At 43.3% G+C, this 20192-nt stretch overlaps 1 protein-coding gene across 4 annotated transcripts in view; it reads right to left on the reverse strand.

Annotated features, from left to right (window-relative positions):
- FAT1 (FAT atypical cadherin 1) overlaps positions 1 to 20192 on the reverse strand; it is a 138903-nt gene that overhangs the window by 110574 nt on the left and 8137 nt on the right. For all 4 annotated transcript variants that reach the window (NM_001440455.1, NM_001440456.1, NM_005245.4 and 1 more), the window contains exon 2: positions 8196 to 11478. In NM_001440455.1, the coding sequence (NP_001427384.1) occupies positions 8196 to 11460 (3265 nt within the window). In that variant the 5' untranslated portion in view covers positions 11461 to 11478. The remainder of the gene's footprint in view (positions 1 to 8195; positions 11479 to 20192) is intronic.

Here is a 20192-nt window from a genome sequence, read left to right on the forward strand (position 1 = left end):
CATTATGCATTGAGTGCCTGTTATATACACCAAGCATTCAAAGACTTACGTGCGCCCACAAAGAGCTGACAATCTAGAGGAAAGGCGCGTGTAAATAAACAATTACACTAGAGTGATACTGCAGTCATATGTTTAAGTACATAAAAGATAAGAAACAGCTCCACGTAACGAAGAGGGCTGTCAAGAAAGCTTTATTAAGTAGAGTTATGAGATAATACGAGCTGACCACTGTATGCCCAAAGGCAGGGAGACAGAAAACGGCGAGGCACAGAGGGGTAGAGGGCTGCACAGGGCAGGGGCTGAGGGACCAGGGCTGCACAGGAGCCAGTGAGGGAAGCACGGGTGATGTTAAATGGGAGAGCAGGGAGGCCTGTTAGGGCAATGCGGCTCCGCCACGGAGAGACTGGACCCCGTGCGATGGGAGACAGTGAAACGGGTTAAGGAGGATTCCGTGACAGATGAACACCTCAGCTCAAGAATCACGTCTGTATTGTCAGAATGCCTCCTAACGCATCACACCATAAACTACATCAACTGGCACGCGCTACTTTCCTTTAAAAAATGCAACAGAATATTTCAAAATTCAATGGCACTAAGTCGACGTGCATCATATTTCCATCATTTGTCGTGTTTTTATAATTTGGCACAGACATGAACTCCATGAGCAGAGTATAACACCACGTAATTTTACTCACTAATTGTGACAATCTAGTGAGACAGTCTATGGAAAGACCATAAAATAGGGCCTGTACACGGCAAGTACTCACTAAACGTTAACTATAATTACATGCTGATGATGATTAAGAAGAAAAAGCTTACCTGTGATAAGAATATGGTTAAATTATCACAAACCAGAAAGCAGTCTTCAGAAACTACATAAATAGCTGAGTAACTTTTATTAAAAAAAAACAAAAAACCAATTGATTTAAAACTAAAAAGACTGTATTAGTAGACTCTCCCCAACATGAAATGAGTAAGACATTCTAAAGAATCCCATTCAACAGGTTGAGCCACTCGGAGGCCTAGCAATGGACCGAGTTCAACATGGTATCAGATATTCGAGGAGATATGGTACTGTTGAACTGGCAAGGCAAGTTAATTGATAAGACTGGCCCTTGAAGTATATATGTGAATAGTTTCCTAGACTTACTGTCACTGCTGTGAAACTGGAGAACTGCCAATTCAACAAGTACAGGCATGTGCCCTTGAACGGCAATCTTTCCAAGTCCATTTATTCCTAGTAACAAAGACAGAAAAGATTGCGCTTTGTGGCACTATGTCTTGTATGGAGCATGCACTATTTATAAGCAGCATGGTCTGCTGTTTGAAAAAAAAAAAAAAATGCCAGAAAGGCAACTGCAAAATAACAGTACACAAAACACACACTAATAAATAAAAACGTGACAAATCCAGCCCTACGAACTAAAATAATCCAAAAAGTAAAAACAATGGGAACTAAATGGTAAGAAAATCTCCAACATTTAAACTAACACCTAAAGCTTAAAATCTTTTCAATTTTCATAGTTGTACACGGTAGGTAATACGGAAAGAACAGACCAGGTATTAAGTGAACATTAAACCTCTACACACACAGGTCACTCAACAAATTACGAACACCCAATCCTTAAACATCCTTAGGACAAAAAACAGTTCCCTGGCAAGGGGGACGGTGAGTAAGCTTACTCTGGCTTTCTTGCCCCGTACTAGATGGCCAAGAGGACAGCTGCTGATGCCAAGGCACCAAGGAGGACAAGGCAAGAGAACGATGGCCTCATGTAACTCGATGCAGAGGGAGGTACAAATCACGTTAGCTTTGGCGTGCAGGCCTGAAAGCTGGGACCTAACCACCATCTTAAACATGGTTTCCACAAGAAAAGCCTTCCAACAATTAACGTCCTGTCCAGTTCAGATGGGCAGCATTTTTACCGATTAAATCACACTTTTACAACTGCAAACACAAATATGACACCTGTCCATCTCTTCAATGGCCAATGAGACAAGGGAAGCTACAGGCACTCACCTGGATTCACCCACGCCTTCGCTGGCCTGATCTTGACTTGCTGACTGCCACCGCGACGGAATTCAAACTCCTGTCCTCCTAATTGTGCTAGATAGCAATATGTCATTCAGAGTAAAAATGCTGGAAGATTCTTACATTCAAGACTCCTTCAGGACCAAGCATCGAATCTAGGATTCAAGGCTGCAACCTGGCCTAACCCAGCTTAGCACAGAAACCCACTTCACTAGTCGTTTTTGAACAGGCTCCCTCGCAGCATCCGTAGATCATTCTTCAAAGAGTAAGAGGAGTAAAATGCGGTTCTGGCACTTAGCACCCAAGAAGTCTTGGGCAAGTTACTTAACCTCTCATTGACGTTTCATCCTGTAATGTAGGGATAACAGAGTCCACCCGGTGGTTGTGAGAATTAAATGGACTGGCACACACAGAATGCCGGGCCCAGTGCCCGGCTGTGACACTCAGTGTCGTGGTTATTACTAGACTGGTGCTCACCACCAGTGTCATTACCACTGACAGCATGAGGACAAAGCCGGCCTGTCTGACGTAAGCTGTTTCCACCCCACACCTCCAGGTCCCGGCCCCTGCACACTCTGAGAATTACATCACAGCACGGTAAGCGTCACTGCGTGCTGCTCCACAACGTGGGACGGCCCTGAGTCACGGTCCCCCGAGTTCCCATCCACAGCCTTTCCAGGCTAGACTTGTTCAGTCAGTAACGCATCAACGTGGTAAACATCATACAAATAACTAAAGAAAAGCTGAATCTCTGTTGTTTTTAGTAAGAAAATGGAACTTCCTTAGGATTTCGACTAGATCCTATTTTCACCTTAACATCTTCCTGCTTCAAAGAAGGACCCTTCCCCTGGTAGAAATTGTTACCACGCCCTGCTTGACTCAGAATCACACACACACAAGATTTTTATCCCAGAACACAGCAACAACACACTGTGGTAACATCATTTCTGCCAAGACACAACTTCCAGTCTCCCTGTGGCTGGGAAACGAGCTTCTTTTCTCTTAAGCTTTCCTAGGAGGAGAACATAAAGAGCCAAGAGGACAGCAGCTGCTGCCACTTCAGGGAGGAGCCAGCAACACAAAAGCCCTTTCACCAGCACATTTTTTAACTCTCTGCCGGGCCTCCCACCCGTCTCTAATCAAGTTCCTGCTGCCAGGAATTCTAGCCCCAGCTCCCACAGGGCATCAGGTCCCACCACAGCAGGCCAGGCTTCCAGCAGCCACCCAGCTCTCAGCCACTTGCAGACCCTTTAGTCAGGATCCGGGGCCCGTCAGCCTCCTCCACATTCCTTCTCCTGTCACAGGAGGACGTGCAGCAGGAGCAGGGATCCCAGGATGTAAGTAAAATATCCTACTTTATATGAGGAAAAGGGTTTCTAACTTGAATGAATAATAAATAGCTGAAACATTCAGAGTTCTGCAGAACCAGACAGAAGCTCCAGAAACATTTTCCCTGACTGAGGTCAACAATCAGGTTAGCCTGGGCCGGAATTCCGTTCCGTTCCCACTGTAGAAACGCACTCACCTGTGTGCACCTAAGCCGGGCGGCCAGGAGCCGACCCCACACAGGTGACACAGGGATGAGGCCAGGAGCCGACCCCCACACAGGTGACACAGACATGAGGCCAGGAGCCGACCCCCACACAGGTGACACAGGGATGAGGCCAGGAGCCGACCTCCACACAGGTGACACAGACATGAGGCCAGGAGCCGGCCTCCACACAGGTGACACAGGGATGGTGCTCCAACACTCTCCATCGTGTGAATGCAGCCATTTTCTCTTAAGAAAAATGTCCTCATTTCCCTTCCTGTATTTCATGAATGCTGACTTAAGTTGTGACAACGGCTGTACTTCCATATTAATTCATTCCCAGTCTTTTCATCAAAACGTAAATTTCAATCCTGAAACCAGGATTGGGATGCTAAAAGTAACACAGCAGTAATATGTTTAGAGATCTGCTCTTATCTTAATGAAAAACACGGGCTCCCCAAATAAGTAGAGTCAGAAGGGGAAACACTCGTCCTGGGCTGCTTTGTATACTAACATTAACAGCCAAAAAGAGAACCAAACTACTCTAGACTGAAGGTCAAACACATTCCAGGGCGTCCTGTACGCAATACACACATCAGGGAACAGACCTCAACCCAACACTGCTTCAACACCAACTTCTATTCACAATTTCTACAAAATCTTCTGGCCAGGCATTTTTCTAGACATTCCCTTAGTTTTAAAAATGAACAAAAAGCTGCAGCATTTCATTGGTGCTCAAGTAATAATTAACTTGCTAAGTACACATCAGCTAAGAACACTACACCAAATTTATTCCACACACCCACAAGAGGGATGCTCCAGATTTTATTCTGCTTAAATTACAGGAAAACCTGTTGAAGCTTACAACAAAGCAACAGAGAATGGATCTGAAGTAGAAGAGGGGGTTGGATGCTGAGACGCATGGCAGGCAGACCGAACCCTGAATGTGGGATTACACATGCTTCAAAGATCTTTACTCCGCTAAACATCTTTGTTAAATCTACTTTATAATCCTCACTGTAGACCTTACAGATAGCAATCTGAGGAGGAGAATCTTAATTAGAGCTCTGGAAACTGGCTCTCTAACGAGACCGACTTTCCAAATAATTGTTCACATGGCCCTCTCCCCTTCCAGACCTCACATGGAAGGGCAGTCACGTGGCATGGATCTGTCAGAACAGTTCACCAACATCCAGAGGCCTCTCCAGGAAGGGCAGATGATACCGTGAGACCTGCAGAGTCCACGCCCGCCATCCCCACTCTGCCACTACGCTTTCTCTCGCTGCAAAGCCATTTGCAGAACATGTACAAACCACGGAGCTAAGAACACAGAGCTAACAGGACTGTCCGTTTGGTGACAGATTTTTAGGTAGTCCATAGAATTTCTACTTCTACAAAAACAGAAAACTACGTTTCAGAGGATGTTTCCAATTTAAGCAGATTTAAAGAGAAGAAAAGGAAAGATCTTAAAATAGAACTTCATTCAGCTTGCTGGATAGGTTCTCTGTTCTGTGAAAAGTATATAAATGATACACATATTTGACTAGGTTGAAATAGGTAAAATATGACAAAAATTTGGTTATAATACTCAACCAACACTAGTAGCTTTAAGTCAAAGACAAGAAGCAAACAGTTACGTGGACAGGTTGTTGGTCCCCAGAGCCACAGCACTCCTGCACAGGCTCATATTAATTAGCGCAATATTAAATGCCCCCGAGTTAGGCAAAGAAGACCCTGGTGGACATGGGCAATGGGCAAGGAGCGAAGTTCCAGCAAGCACCAGCCTGGCCTGGGCCGGGTGCACGCCAAGGCACACCAAGCTGTAGTGCAGTCTCTGGCAGCCCCCACGGGTGTTCCTCAACTGCCCCTCCATCTCTTCACCTGACACGCATCTTTCCACACTTCCTTCATGCCCTAGAAATTAGTTAAGACACACTCCAAGTGAATAATTAGCATGCCTAATTTTAGCCAACAAAATATACTGATTTTTCCTAAAGGAGTTTCTACACTGTGATACCAATTGTCCTGCCAGGAATCTCTGAAGAAATAACTTGGGCTGATAATTCTTCTGCCAAAAAATGTATCTTGTAATGAATACGAGGTCCAATGTGTAAATATTATTCTATCACTTTTGTTCATTTCCAAAAGCATATAAACGTAAGTCTACTGTACACTACTTACTTTCTCTGTAAAGCAAGGACCACAGAATAAATGACCTACAAATTTCCAGCTTCTCTCTCACCTTTAAATCTCAATATTTACACACAGTTTCTTATATACTTACCAACCACACTGCCCACAATCCCAACACCTCCCCGCCTCCCACTAAATTACTACTGGAAAAGTCTGGCACTGCCCTTTCTGGAAAATACCATAAATCTATTTTGGGACACCACCTCGTTTGGCTGGTTGTTTCCTTATTTTTTTTTTCTTGGTAGTAAAAATATCCCAATCTCTTAAATGTGTAGGTGAAAAATACTAGTTTCGAAATGATTCCTTAAAAAGCAACAATAAAAATACTCTTCTTCACTTGAAAGAAAAAACCCAAAAGGCAGTGTTCATACAAAGTCATGAAGAGAATTTAAATTAAGGTTTTGGTTCCATTTTGTCTCAACTTTAACTTTTAACAGTTCTTTATAGGCTTTTGAAACCTACTTTGGAGAAGGAAAAAAAGTAGGAATAACTGTTCTTCAAAAATTTTACAAAAACAGTTTGACTCAGCTTCAGTTGTTAAATTTGGGGTATTTTTCTATGTTGAAACAGTATTTGAAAATTCTAACTTATACTGGACAGATAAAATGATAAAAAAGACATTCTACTCTTCAGAGGATTATCAAATGCTGTTGATTATGCTAGTTTCTCTTGAAATAAACTAATTATGGGTATTTTAGATAGTGATATATAGTCTGTAGACTTAATACATAGGCCATATGCTAGTGGCACATAACCAACAGAGAAAGAATTCCTTGCATTAATAGAAGCACAAAAAATATATTACAACTTCCAAAATAACTTTTTTTTTTTTTTTTTTTTTGAGATAGTCTGGCTCTGTTGCCCAGGCTGGAGTGCAACGGCACAATCACAGCTCACTCCAGCCTCGACCTCCTGGACTCAAGCCATCCTCCCACCTCAGCCTCCCAAGTAGCTGGGACTACAGGTGTACCACCACCCCAGCATTTTTTTTTTTTTTTTTTTGGTAGGAACGAGGTTTTGCTGTTACCCAGGCTGGTCTTGAACTCCTGGCCTCAAGCAATCCTCCCACCTGCGCCTCCCAAAGTGCTGCGATTACAGGCGTGAGCCATCGCACCCAGCCCAAAATAATGTTTTTCTAAACAGCAGTTACATTTTTCATGTGCTACACACCTATCAGATGGCATGGATCCCAGGGTGGGTGTTGACTGAAGACTCTCTTGTTTTTTTGTGTGTGTGGTATTACTGAATATATAAAGTTTAAAGGTAATTTTAAAAAGGTCCCTTTTAAAATGCACAGATTTATAAAGTACACATGGGTGAGATTAGTAAACAAATTGAGCCCCACCTATTGCTGATGAGTGCTATGATCACCCCTTTTCTATTTCCACTATCATTCTCAGAGGGCAGGACATGAAAAGCCAACACATTCGCTCATTTACTCCTGCAGTCTTTTAACACTGATTGACCAGCTTCTATGTGCCAGGCACTTTTTGCTAGGTGCTAAACACAGAAGATGCAGGGGCTAAAAGCCTGCCCCGAAAGGCTCACACTCCACCAGGACATATTGACATATAACTACAATATCTGCGCAGCAAGACTGAGGTATGTACAAAGTGCAACACACGCACTTTCTAGCTTGGACTGCTGCCTTGGAGGTCCCGGTTTCAGAACCTTCAGTATTACAACAAAGCACTGCTACCATGAATAAACCTACCACACGTCAGGAGTTTTCCCGTGTTATTTCACTTTACTCTCACTTAAACCTTCCGGTATTTCTAAGTGTCCCCATGTAGAAGAGGAAAAAGTTAGTTCTAAGAAGTCATTTGCTTGTCCAGGATCACCAATTACCAACTAGAAGAGCCAGGATTCCAAGCCAGGTCTTCTCAGTTCAGCATGCCACTACCCCGCCTCTGCCTCTCGACCAAAACCTAGACGAGGTACTAAGTGAAGACCACATTAGAGAAGTTTTGGCACATCATCTCTGCACTGGGTAACTTTGCCGGTGTGCAACAACCTCTGAATGGCACGCCAGATGGTAGCAGTAGTTGTTCTAAGTATGAGCCTGCAAATACACTGACTGAAAAAAGTTGGAAAGACTTCTCAAAGTCAGAACAAAACCATAATGATGCTTTTGATAATAGAGTTCAAAATAGAGTTTGGAGATCAGTATCAGTGATAACAATTTCAATGTATCCCTGGTCTTTTACTCACTTTACGCCACTTAAATCACTCAGGCCCTTTTGTTTCCATCTTCATGGCTTACTACGAATAAACACATCTACAATACAGCAGCCGGGCCAAAAAAAATATTCACACGCACTTCTATACCGAGCCCAAAGAGCAACAGGGAATTTTGAAGAAGCTGCCACAGGGCAGATGGTTAAAAAAAAAAAAAAAATGGAAAAGGGCATCAAATGAGAGCAATAAAAACATATTTACCTGTCTCTTCACCTATTTTGAAAACACCAACGCCAGAGCCATCTCTAATGGAGTATCGGATCTCCCCATCTCTTCTGGCGTCCTCATCATGAGCCGACACCGTCATTACCAATGAACCAACAGGTGCATCTTCTTTCACTGTCCCCTTTTCCACAAAGCTGGAAAACACGGGTGGGTGCAGGTTCTCATTCACATCAACCACCTCAACTTCAACATAGCAAGTAGAAGACAGAGAAACTGGCTTTCCCTTGTCTTTGGCCCTCACAGTGAGATTATACACTTGCTTCTTCTCAAAGTCCAACTGCTGGACGATCCTAACTGCTCCACTGAGTTTATCCACATCGAAGTTTCCTTCTCCGTGGTCCAGAAGGCTGTATCTCACCTGACCAGACTGACCTAAATCAGGATCGTGGGCTTCTAACCACATGATGACGGTTCCTTCTGGAAGATCCTCTCGGACTTTCACACGATAATTAGGTGGAATAAATGTAGGTGGGTTGTCATTAACATCTTCTAGTGATACTTTCACAACGACAGTGGAGAACAGCTGAGGCTCTTCTCTGGCTTGGTCCCTGGCCTCAATCTTTAAGGAGTGCTCATGCTGCAGCTCTCGATCCAGAGGGCGTGCGATGTTAACAACACCCGTCACGCTGTCAATTGAAAATGTGTCTGTGTCTGTAACAATTGAGTACGTCACGTGTCCGTTGGGCCCCAGGTCTTTATCTGTGGCTTCAACCTGGATGATTTCACTATGTACCTCCTTGTCTTCACTCACTTCCACAAAATAGCTCTCCTGTAAAAACTCGGGTGGATTATCATTGGCATCGACAACCACGACATGTAGAAGACGCCACGCAGCCTTCTGGGGTATCCCAAGGTCATAGACGGTAATATTCAGGGTGTATTTGTCTGTTGTTTCACGGTCAAGAGGAGATAAAATTTTCAGCATTCCTGTTTCCATATCAATCATGAAGCAACTATCCTCATTTCCTCCAGAAACAGCATAGACCAGTTTTCCATTGAAGCCAGTGTCAAGGTCAGTGGAGTTCATGAAAATTACACTGGAACCCACAGGCTGGTTTTCCTTTACCTGAATACCAGTCGGAAGAGTGCTTCTAAACTGCGGTATGTGAGCATTGACAGAGTGAGAATCGAAGAAAATATCCTCCACCTCTCCCTGGTTGTGTAATTTATTTGCCTGCAGGAGCTTCTCTGCCAGCATTTTGGCAACACCAGTCTCTTCACACTGCAAGTTTACCAGCTTGTGACTGGCAGCCACTGTTATGTTGATATATAATGGTGTGGCAAAATTTTCTCCATCTGTAGCTGTGATTCTCAGACTGTGGAAAGACACCTTTGCACCTAAGCCATCCATTAGCGATCGCTTTAATGACAATACCCCCGAGTTGGGGTTTAAACTAAAGAAATCCAGTTCATTTCCAGCTTCAATCTGATACTGTACCAACTGAAGTTCATCTGCATCAATAGCAGAAACAGTGGTTATTTGCTCTCCCACGCCTAGATCTCTGGGAATTGTCCCTTCACAATTTATTTTCTCAAACAAAGGTGTGTTGTCATTCAAGTTATTGAGAGTAATTGTAGCAAGGACTTCGACTTCCCGGCGGTACGGCAAGCCCCAGTCTGATGCACGAATCCTCAGAGTATAAACCCGAGGCATCAGTTCGTAGTCCAGGTTTTCTGACGTACTCACGGCACCAGTGAAATGGTCAATCGCAAACGGCACATGATTTAAATTTGCGATACTGTATGTCACGTACCCGTTCTCACCCTCATCAGGGTCTACGGCACTCAGGCTCATGACAGTAGTACCAATGGGCACGTTCTCATCAAAAGCAGCTTTGTACGCTGTCTGGGTAAATTCAGGGGGATTGCTATTTGCACCTAAGACTTTCACCAAGACCTTGGTGGACGCTTTTCTGTCACTTGTTGTTACTTCAAGTTCAAAATGGGCTGCCTGCTGTCTTTTAACTGGTTCTAAAATAGAAATGAGACCAGTGTTGTAATTTAAACTGAATTTAGCTTTTCCAGGTGTACTTTTAAAAACATACCTCAAATGGGAATAAGCAGGAATGGCCTTTACCATGACCACAGGTGTGTTGGGAGGAGCAAATTCACTTATTTCTGCTCTGTAAACATCCTTTTCAAACTTGACTGGCCCGGCTTTGAACTGTGGAGAAGTCACGTGAATGACTTTAACAGAAGAGAACTGGGGCGGAGTTCCTTTATCTTTAGCCTGTAGTGTGAGATTGTAGCCGAAAGGATGACTGTCCCAATCAATGCCACCGATGGCTTTGACTTTATACTCCTTACTCCCTGGAAAGGACCTCACTGTTCTAAACTGCTGGAGAAGGTCACCTGCCACGATGCTTAAAGATGCTATGTCACCATTGGCACCCTGATCGCAGTCATCCACTGTCACAATTGCATATGCTGGGTCCCTGTCCAGTTCTGATGGTGACAATGTCACTGCTGTTATCACCGGAGCACATTCATTGGCCTGTTCGATGTGCACCGTTAGCTTGGCCATGCTGCTGATGCCACTGCTCCCATACAACTTCATGCCACGGTCCGCAGCGAGGATTTCCATCTCATAGAGCTTGGTCTCTAGGTAATCAAGTCTACCAGTTAACACTATCACACCACTGGTTGGGTGAATAGCAAACATATCTGTTCGATCTTTAAAACTGTAGTAAAATTCCCCGTTGGTTCCTATGTCTGCATCCGTGGCGCTGACTCTTGCGATACTGGTCCTTATAGCTGTGTTTTCAGGTAAAGAAACGCTGTATGAGGTGGGTGAGAATAACGGTCTCAAGTCATTTGTATCCAGCACCTGCACCCTGACCTTTGTTCGCGCCTCCACATTAGTATTTTTTTCAAGTGCTTTCACTATCAATGTGTAGTGATCCTTCACTTCTCTATTAAGAATAGCTGTATTTCCTCCTTTGGTCCTTATTCTTAGAAAGCAAAAGTCTCCGAGAATGTACTCTTCAGCTTTGAACAGGTTTTCACTGTCTCCGGAAACAATTTTGTACCTTACTTCCCACGCTGGATGTGTAATGTAAACACCCATCTTGACAGGATGCCCCACATAAGTCTTAGCTGCAGAGTTCTCCTGCACGGTGACGTTGTACTCGAGGTGTGTAAACTGCAGAGGAGTCTGTTCAAGTCGTTGGCTGCCATCACTGTCTCCAAAATGTTGGAAGAGAAGGAGCAGAAGCAGGAGCAAAGCCAAATGTCTCCCCATTGCTTAACTGTCGGGAATCTGAAACAGAAGAAATCAGAATCGTTACCTTGGGGAAATAAAACAAGCAAAAGTGTGTACATTGTTTTAAACTTCTCATTAAAAAAATATTTTCCATACACATGGAATATAAATAAATGCAACGGTTTGGGATGTTTTTCATGTTTTCCAATATAAGTATCAACATTCTTGTAACATGTCTAGAATTATTAAGCTTAACAAAAACTTCCTTTTCATTTTTGAACGACAAGGTCCTCTCTTTCATATTTAAACGACTCAAAAATCTTCATGAGTATCAAATGAAAGGCTACTAACTGTAACAACTAAGTTATATTTTTATATTTAAATCGTTAAGGCAAATATAAGCAACTGTTAAAAATTAATGAACATTGTTTACATTTACTTACATACAATGAATTAAATGATCAAAAGCTGGCAAACATAATGCCCCTACAGTATTGTGAGAATGCAAAGCTTCTGACAACTAATTCAGAAAAAAACAAAAACCAGCAGTGGTTTTACATGGCGCTCCATAAGAACAGCTTGTAATCTCATTTCAAAATGTATCCTGAAATTATATTATTTCTGTATAAGAATGGTTAAGTTCACTCCCTACATAATGTAAGGGTTTATTGTCTCATTTCGCTCTATGTAACTACTTAAAAGTATTAAAATAATTATATCAAGTATAATACTTATCAGCAACATAAGCCCCAAAGAAAGGCAATTTACAAAAGAAAAACCAGAATTCAGCAGCCTGATGTCAAACAGCATTTTTCCTCTCTAAGTCAGTGAAGCAAACTTTACCAACTATATCAATGTTTTATCACCACTGCTGTCAACAACCAGTTGTTCACAGAATGTCTCCTATCTTCAGGGCATCGAACAACCTGTCACCCTGGGCCCCTCCATGAGAAGATGACACACACACACAAAAGCTAAATCTTCTAAGCTAACACACGTCAAGGGTCAAATCAGTCTATTAATACATGGTGGCAGACTCTGCAGGACAGTCCCTGGGTGACTGGCGGAGAAAAGAGAGAAACTGAAGAAATGAAGAAAACGTTGCCTTTAACAATGACAAATGGGAAGGTGGGCGAAGTCCACTGGGCTGAGGTCTGGCCAGGGAAGCAGGACAGTTATTTTCAGATCAACTGTTCCCCTTTGCCAACAAATTCATCTTGTAAATCAACACAGCTTCACAAAGGACAGCACTGTCATCTTGCAAAGTGACTCTCAAATTAATATTCACAAAATGTGAATGCTACCAGAGGTAAATGAAGAGCAAACTGGAGGGTGGGTTTGACAGCCCAGTTGAAATTGGTACGACAACATTAATTTATAGTATCTTAACTTAGCTACTGCCAACTCTGCCCCATAAGTCATTGCCTTAGGGGGAAAAAAAGACCTGATGTGCTTAAAGCAATTAAAGCTTAATTGATATTGAACCACGTTCAAGTTGGCCACCCTAACTTGTTCTTTAGCTATGATGCCTTCTCCTCTCCAGATAAAGTCAGAAATTAGACAGATTTTTGGCTTCTAGGAGAACAATTATCATTTAAACAAAATAAGAAAACAATTTTCTCCCAAAACTATCTCTTTAAGTATCTCCATTTAGTCAACAGTTCTAATACTCAGGGAAATTTGAATATTATAAAATAATCTTGTAATTTTATCAAAACAAATAAAAAGTTCAACCTACAGGTATGGAGGACCTTATCAGACAGAACCTTGCATGGTGTTAAGGAATAAAAGACAAAGATCCCAATCCCAAGGGATTTACAAACTAGAAATAAAAATACATATAAAGAGGCTGGTCACGGTGGCTCACACCTGTAATCCCAGAACTTTGGGAGGCCAATGCAGCCGGATCCCTTGAGCTCAGGAGTTCGAGACCAGCCTGGCCAAAACATGGTGAAACCCCATCTCTACTAAAAATACAAAAATTAGCAGGATATGGTGGAGCAAGCCTGTAATCTCAGTTACTCCAGAGGCTGAGGCAGGAGAATCACTTGAACCCGGGAGGCAGAGATTGCAGTGAGCCGAGATCGCGCCACTGCACTCCAGCCTGGGCAACAGAGCTAGACTCTGTCTCAAAAACAAAAAAACAAAACCAGAAACACTTGGATGATGTTTAGCAAGCAGTGTCTTTTGTTTTAGGAGTCACATTATGTTTTAGGAGACATTTTTACCATCATCCATTGTACAACAAAATATTATACCAGGATTCTATTGCAAGTACTAGAAGTATTTTTGCTTAATTCTACGTATAAAGTTATCATGCAGCCATTAAAAGATAGCACTCTGTATGTTGACATATGTCTAGCTATATAAACTGGAAAAACGAAGCTGATCCTATTTATGTTTATTTAAAAGAGAGGAGAAGGGGGGTAGATACAATGTACCCACGGATATACTTTAAAATGGACAGAAAAGTCTAGGCAGACAAGCAACTGTTAACAGTGGTAACTTCTGGAGAACCGGTAGAGAAACAGGTAGCTGAGGGAATGATTACTGTGGCATTTTTCTCTACTGTGGTTTTTTTTTAGCATGAGTATGTGTTGTCTTTATCATCCACTCACCCCTTTCATTAATTATTTAATTCCTTTTACATAGGTTTAATGAGCATCTACTATGTATCAGGTGCAGTTCTAGACGCTGGGGATTCAAAAGTGAACCAAATTACCAACAAGTCCTGATGGAAGATACATTTCCTGGCCAGACACAGACAGACAAGTAAACAGAGTATATCCGATGCTGATAATTAAGTGCTAAGGAGAAAACTAAAGCAGGGCAAAGAGAGACCAGGGTCAGGAACCTGAAGGAAAAGAGGGAACCCTAAATCCAAAGGGTCAGGGCTTACACTAGTGACATGCTGGGCAACTCTTAGATTCTTTGGGGAAACGTAGAGTGTTCAATATGATTCCTGGTCCCCACCAGCATGAAGCCTGTGGCATCCCCCTCATCACCCAGCTGTGATGACTAAAAATACCTCTATCTCGAGACATTGCCAAACACCCTCTAGGGCAGAAAGTCACACCCCGCAGAGAAGCACTAGATTAGGGAAGCCAGAAAGAGACCACGTGGCTGGAGCACAGCGGTTGAGGGACAGCGGTAAGGCCGGGGCACATCCTGGGAGAGAACCTATCATGAAGGGGGTTCTTTTTAAAAATAAACCTTATTTTAGAATGCTTTTAGACTTACAGAAAAGTTGCAAAGAGAGCTTCCCCTACTGTTAACATCTCACTTTAGTACATTATACTAGATACAACTAACAAACCAGTACTGACACATCATCAACTACAGTCCATACTTCACTCAAATTTGCTCATTTTACCCAAGGCCTTCTCTCCATCCTAGAATCCCTTCCAAGACACCACCTTACATTTAGCTGTCATGTCTCCTAAGGCTCCTCTGGAATGTACGTTTCTCAGATTTTCCTTGCTTTTAATGATCTGGACAGTTTCCAGAAGTACTAGTCAGGTATTTTGTAGGATGTCCCTCAACTGGAATCTGACGTTTCTCTCCTGATTAGATTGGGGTTCTGTTTTGGGGAGAAAAGCCACAGAGGTAGAGTCGTTTCCACCACACCGTAGCAAGCGGGTAAAATCAACACGATTTATCGATGTTGACGCTGCTCCTGACCACGTGACTGAGGTAGTATCTGCCAGGTTTCCTCACAGTCAGGTTACTTTCACCCCTCCCTGTACTGTATTCTTGGTAAGGAAGTCACTGCATGTAGCCCATTCTTAAGAGACAGAGAGTTTCGCTACTCAAAATATTTATAATTCTTCTAGAAACTGATTTGTCTATCTTCCTCCATTTATTTATTCAATTTTTTTTCTTTTTTAGACAGAGTCTCGCTCTCTCACCCAGGCTGGAGTGCAGTGGCGCGATCACGGCTCACTGAAGCTTTGAGCTTTCCGGGCCCCCGTCTCAGCCTCCTGAGTAGCTGGGACTATAGGTGCGTCTGTAGATTTAGACTGACAGAATTTTACATACTCAGGAACCACCAGCACGCCTGGCTCATGTTTGTATTTTTTATAGAGACGGGGTTTCACCACGTTGCCCAGGCTGGTCTCAAACACCCAGGCTCAAGCGATCTGCCCAACTCGGCCTCCCGAACTGCTAGGATTACAGGTGTGAGCCACTGCATCCAACCTGAATCTTTTTTTTTCTCAAGATCCGTCTGGACTCATGGATAAAGGACAATTTTTAGGACTTTAGAGTTTAGTATGAATCAAATGAGAAGTCCCCCAGCGGATTCTGAACCGAGGAGTGCCACGGTCTCAGTAAAATGGAAAAACCTGTGGGCAGCCAGGGCAGAAGCTGGAGGGCGACCAGAGCAGTCAGAGGCTGCAGCCACAACACAGGTGGAGCGCGTGTGGGCTGGGGCACAACGGGGGTGGGGGGCAGATTGTGAATCTATTTCAAGGTTGCCTGATGCTGGAGTGGGGAGAGGGAGGGAAAGGAGGAGAGAACAGTACCAGAGAAGATGCCAAAGACTGCTCAGCGTAGAGAACAAGGGGGCCAGGAACCGAGAGGGAGACAGGAGGAGAAGCAGCCTCAGGGAGCAGATCGGGAGGTCAGTTTTGGACAGGGTAAGATGGGAACAGCTACGGGCTATCCAAGTAAAGATTGTGAGTGGGCAGCAGATATGTGGGAGACTCCAGCCGGCAGATAGAAATTTGAGAGTTGTCTAAATATGAAAGACGGTATTTAAAACCACAGAACTGAATGAGATCACCAAGGAAGAGAGCAGGCAGAAGAAAAAAAAAATCCAAGAGCAGAACCCCAAGATTTGAAGGGTCCAAACGGGAGGCCCTGACAGGGGAGATGTCGGCCACTGAGGGAGGAAAGGGAACCACAGCATAGTGGTGTGATAAGAAACAGTGAGTAAATAAAGATTTTTCTACAGCTGAAGCCTAACATTAGAACTTGGAGTTCTATATAATATAAATACTCACTAATCCAGCTGGGCGCGGTGGCTCACGCCTGTAATCCCAGCACTTCGGGAGGCCGAGGCAGGCGGATCACGAGGTCAAGAGACCGAGACCATCCTGGCCAACATGGTGAAACCCTGTCTCTACTAAAAATACAAAAAGTAGCTGGGTGCGGTGGTGTGCGCCTGTAGTCCCAGCTACTTGGGAGGCAGAGGCAGGAGAATCGCGTGAACAAGGGAGACGGAGGTTGCACTGAGCTGAGATCGCACCACTGCACTCCAGCCTAGGTGACAGAGCAAGACTCTGTCTCAAAAACAAAAAAAAAAGTACTTGCTGATGCGCCACGCTGCTTCCCCCTCCATCCCCCCACCAGAAGGCTCTGGCACTGTTCCATCCCCTAAGACACACAGACCATGGCCAACACGTCAGACTGCTTTGGCTGTTCTCTCCCCATGCTGTCCCAGGTGCTCAGTCCCACCACAGCCCCCACCACCACCCACTCATCCCCAACTGGATTCCCAAACATGCAATTACCTTCCACATCCTACTCAGCAGTTCTCACGGGACACAATACAGCTGGGACGGACTTGTGGACCACATTCCTAACTGAAATCTTTGAAAAACCTGAATGTACTCTGCAAACTTGGCTAACAGAATGCTACTGTGAGTAGAATAAATTATTAAATGAAAAAATACACTTTTTGGAAGACATTGTTAACCGTGCAGTAATGTAACCAAGAACCACGAATTCAGGTTTCACTATAAAAACCACCCTGATCAAAACAATGGCTGTGGCTCTCATGCAAAACAAACAGTAAAGCTGAAGCGGGGAGAGACTCCAACACCATTTCATCTAAAAAGGACCTTATCGCCTAGACTCCTTTGCTTATGGAAATTAAACTCCAAAGACCATCTGAGCCAAGGGCTATACTTTGATATTTAGAAGGTGATCACACTACTTAAACTCACTGCAATTTGGGATTTCTAAAATGCATTTTCCGAAGCCAAAACAAAGAGTGTTTACTTAGTCTAGCCTTGAAGGAGAAGGGCTCCCAGTCTAAAGCTTAAATATCTTTAGCATAGATCTCTGAAAATCTATAAATACGGCAGAAAAATAACTTTTGCAGTAAAAATCAGATATTAATATCTTCATATTTCTTCATTAGGGAGACCTTCATGTAAAATGCTTCCATCAATTACTGTGACTGCACATTCTTCACAAAACAGAACACAGCCCCTGTGCTGAAAACCTAACTGCATATATTCAAGTGTTTAGATGACCTCAAGCTCAAGTCTTCGAAGGGTTTCACACGCCACAGAGACAGGACATTAGGTGAGACACAGCATCACACAATGCACCAATTCTGTTAAACGCCGCATATTTATTACTGAGCGGTCACAATTCTTACAAGCACAAGTAGTCATTCTAGCCTTTATGGAACAGGACATTATTAAACTTTTCATTTCACATGTTATGATAAAAACACAAAATTATTAAGTTGAGAACTCTGTGTTCTCCCTCACTGTGCTCTTCTCCACTCTCATTTTCTATCAACATAGTGAAAGCGTCAGTAGAATTTAACTCATGATTAAAATTTGGAATTTCGAGTTCAGTTCAGTGTCACATTTTTAAAGTATTTTTAAGAGATCTCTAAATTGCAAGCATCTTTCTTCCCCCGAGACAGGGTCTTGCTCTATCTCCCAGGCTGGAGAGCAGTGGCACCATCATAGCTCACTGCAGCACCAACCTTCCAGGCTCAAGTGATCCTCCCGCCTCCGCCTCCGGGGTACCTGGGCGTACCACCATGCCCAGCTAATTTTTTGTATTTTTGTAGAGATGGGGTTTCACCATGTTGCCCAGGCTGGTCTCGAACTCCTGAGCTCAACTGATCGACCTGCCTGGACCTCCCAAAATGTTGGGATTACAGTTGTGAGCCACTGGGCCTGGCCGGCAAACACATTTTCAAAGCAGGATCATGAAGTTGTCAAGAGATTATGAATTGTAAACGAGTTTTTTTGTTTGTTTGTTTGTTTTGGAGACAGTCTTGTTCTGTCACCTAGACTGGAGCACAGCGGTGCAATCGTGGCTCACTGCAACCTCTGCCTTCTGGGTTCAAGCGATTCTCATGCCTCAGCCTCCTGAGTAGCTAGGAATACAGGCATGCACCACCATGACCAGCTAACTTTTGTATTTTAGTAGAGACGGCCAGGCTAATCTCGAATTCCTGGCTGCAAGTCATCCACCCACCTCAGCCTCCCAAAGTGCTGGGATTACAGGCATGAGCCACCGCACCCAGCGTAAATGGCTTTTTAAAAATACTGTATATTAAAAAGAATGTTGAATGATTTCTAAAATTTCAGACATTCCAAATAAAATTTACAACAGGAAAAAAAAAACTCTCTATTTTTCTAGTTCAATTATCATAGCCATGTCGGTACTTTTAAAAGCTTTCATCCTTACACTGAAATACTAATGAGTAGATCCTGTTTATTTTCTGGGTGTACACTAATTCTTTTCAACCCATCTTCATATGATTTTCAGCATGAACGGAGGAAGCTGTGACCCTAGAAATTGAGCAGCAGCCTTAGGCTTGGTATATGTCATTTAATCACTTCTGCTAACTCCATTTATATGTTGTTATCTTTGACTGGGGCTGCAATAATCTGGTAACTCTAGCAAGACATACTTTAAATATTGCCTTCACATGATCAACCACCGGTTCCAATTTAACCCTGAGAATGGTCTTTACTGACAATGACAGTGTGGAACTACAATCTGGCTTTTTCAGAAAACTTCACCATGTACATGATTTAATCAATCCAAAATAGATTCCTGAAGTGTTCCTGCCCTTAAGAAAGATAAACAGATGTCCTATTTTTCAAACAGCCTCTATATAAAACCTAGTTATCTACATGAACCTATAAAACATGTCTGTTGGCATTACGAAGATGACGGGTTCTAGTTGTTCTGTGCTCCTGGGAACGACAAGACAGGACAGGTAGGCAGCGGCTGTGTGTCTATTTCTGGCAGGGTGAGGCATTCCTGTGCTATTCTCTTCTTTCCCCTCTCTATATATTCCTTATCCTCCAACCACTTTCTCCTCATCCACATTCCAGGACAAACTTTGCCCAAGGAGAAGCTCAATGGACTGTTGACCTCTTGTGAATGGAGATCATCTCATCTAATGTATTTTTCTCCACAAACAGAAGTAATTTAAATGACATCTTGGCAGAGTAGCCAATAATCAACAATGGCCACTTCTTCCACTCCCAAGTTGGTAAGTAAGACTTTATTTTATACGTTGAATTGGGCTCCCTGTATAATTAGATTCGGTCAACCCTTCACTAAATGACAGACCAGGAAAGTGAATGTTCCATGTACAGCAAGAAAACGGAAATCTTCAGGGAGAAAAGTCCATCTTCCCTCCTCCTCTTAAAATGTTCTCTTCACCTGTTCTCTCTTCTTACACCTCAGAAGAGATGCCACCCACCCTAGCTGCAAATAAAGATACTCTGATACCACAAAATCCTGCCTCTTCTACAGCTCCTCCCACTCCTGACACCTTGTGCAGAATCCATACACACACACAGGTTCTTCTCCTACTTAAAAAATAAGCTTGGCCAGACACGGTGGCTCATGCCTGTAATCCCAGTACTTTGGGAGGCTGAGGTGGGCAGATCATGAGGTCAAGAGATTGAGACCATCCTGGCCAACATGGTGAAACCCCGTCTCTACTAAAAATACAAAAATTAGCCGGGCGTGGTGGCATGCACCTGTAGTCCCAGCTACTC

The sequence above is a fragment of the Homo sapiens genome, chromosome 4 (assembly GCF_000001405.40).
Source record: "Homo sapiens chromosome 4, GRCh38.p14 Primary Assembly".
NCBI classification, from domain to species: domain Eukaryota; kingdom Metazoa; phylum Chordata; class Mammalia; order Primates; family Hominidae; genus Homo; species Homo sapiens.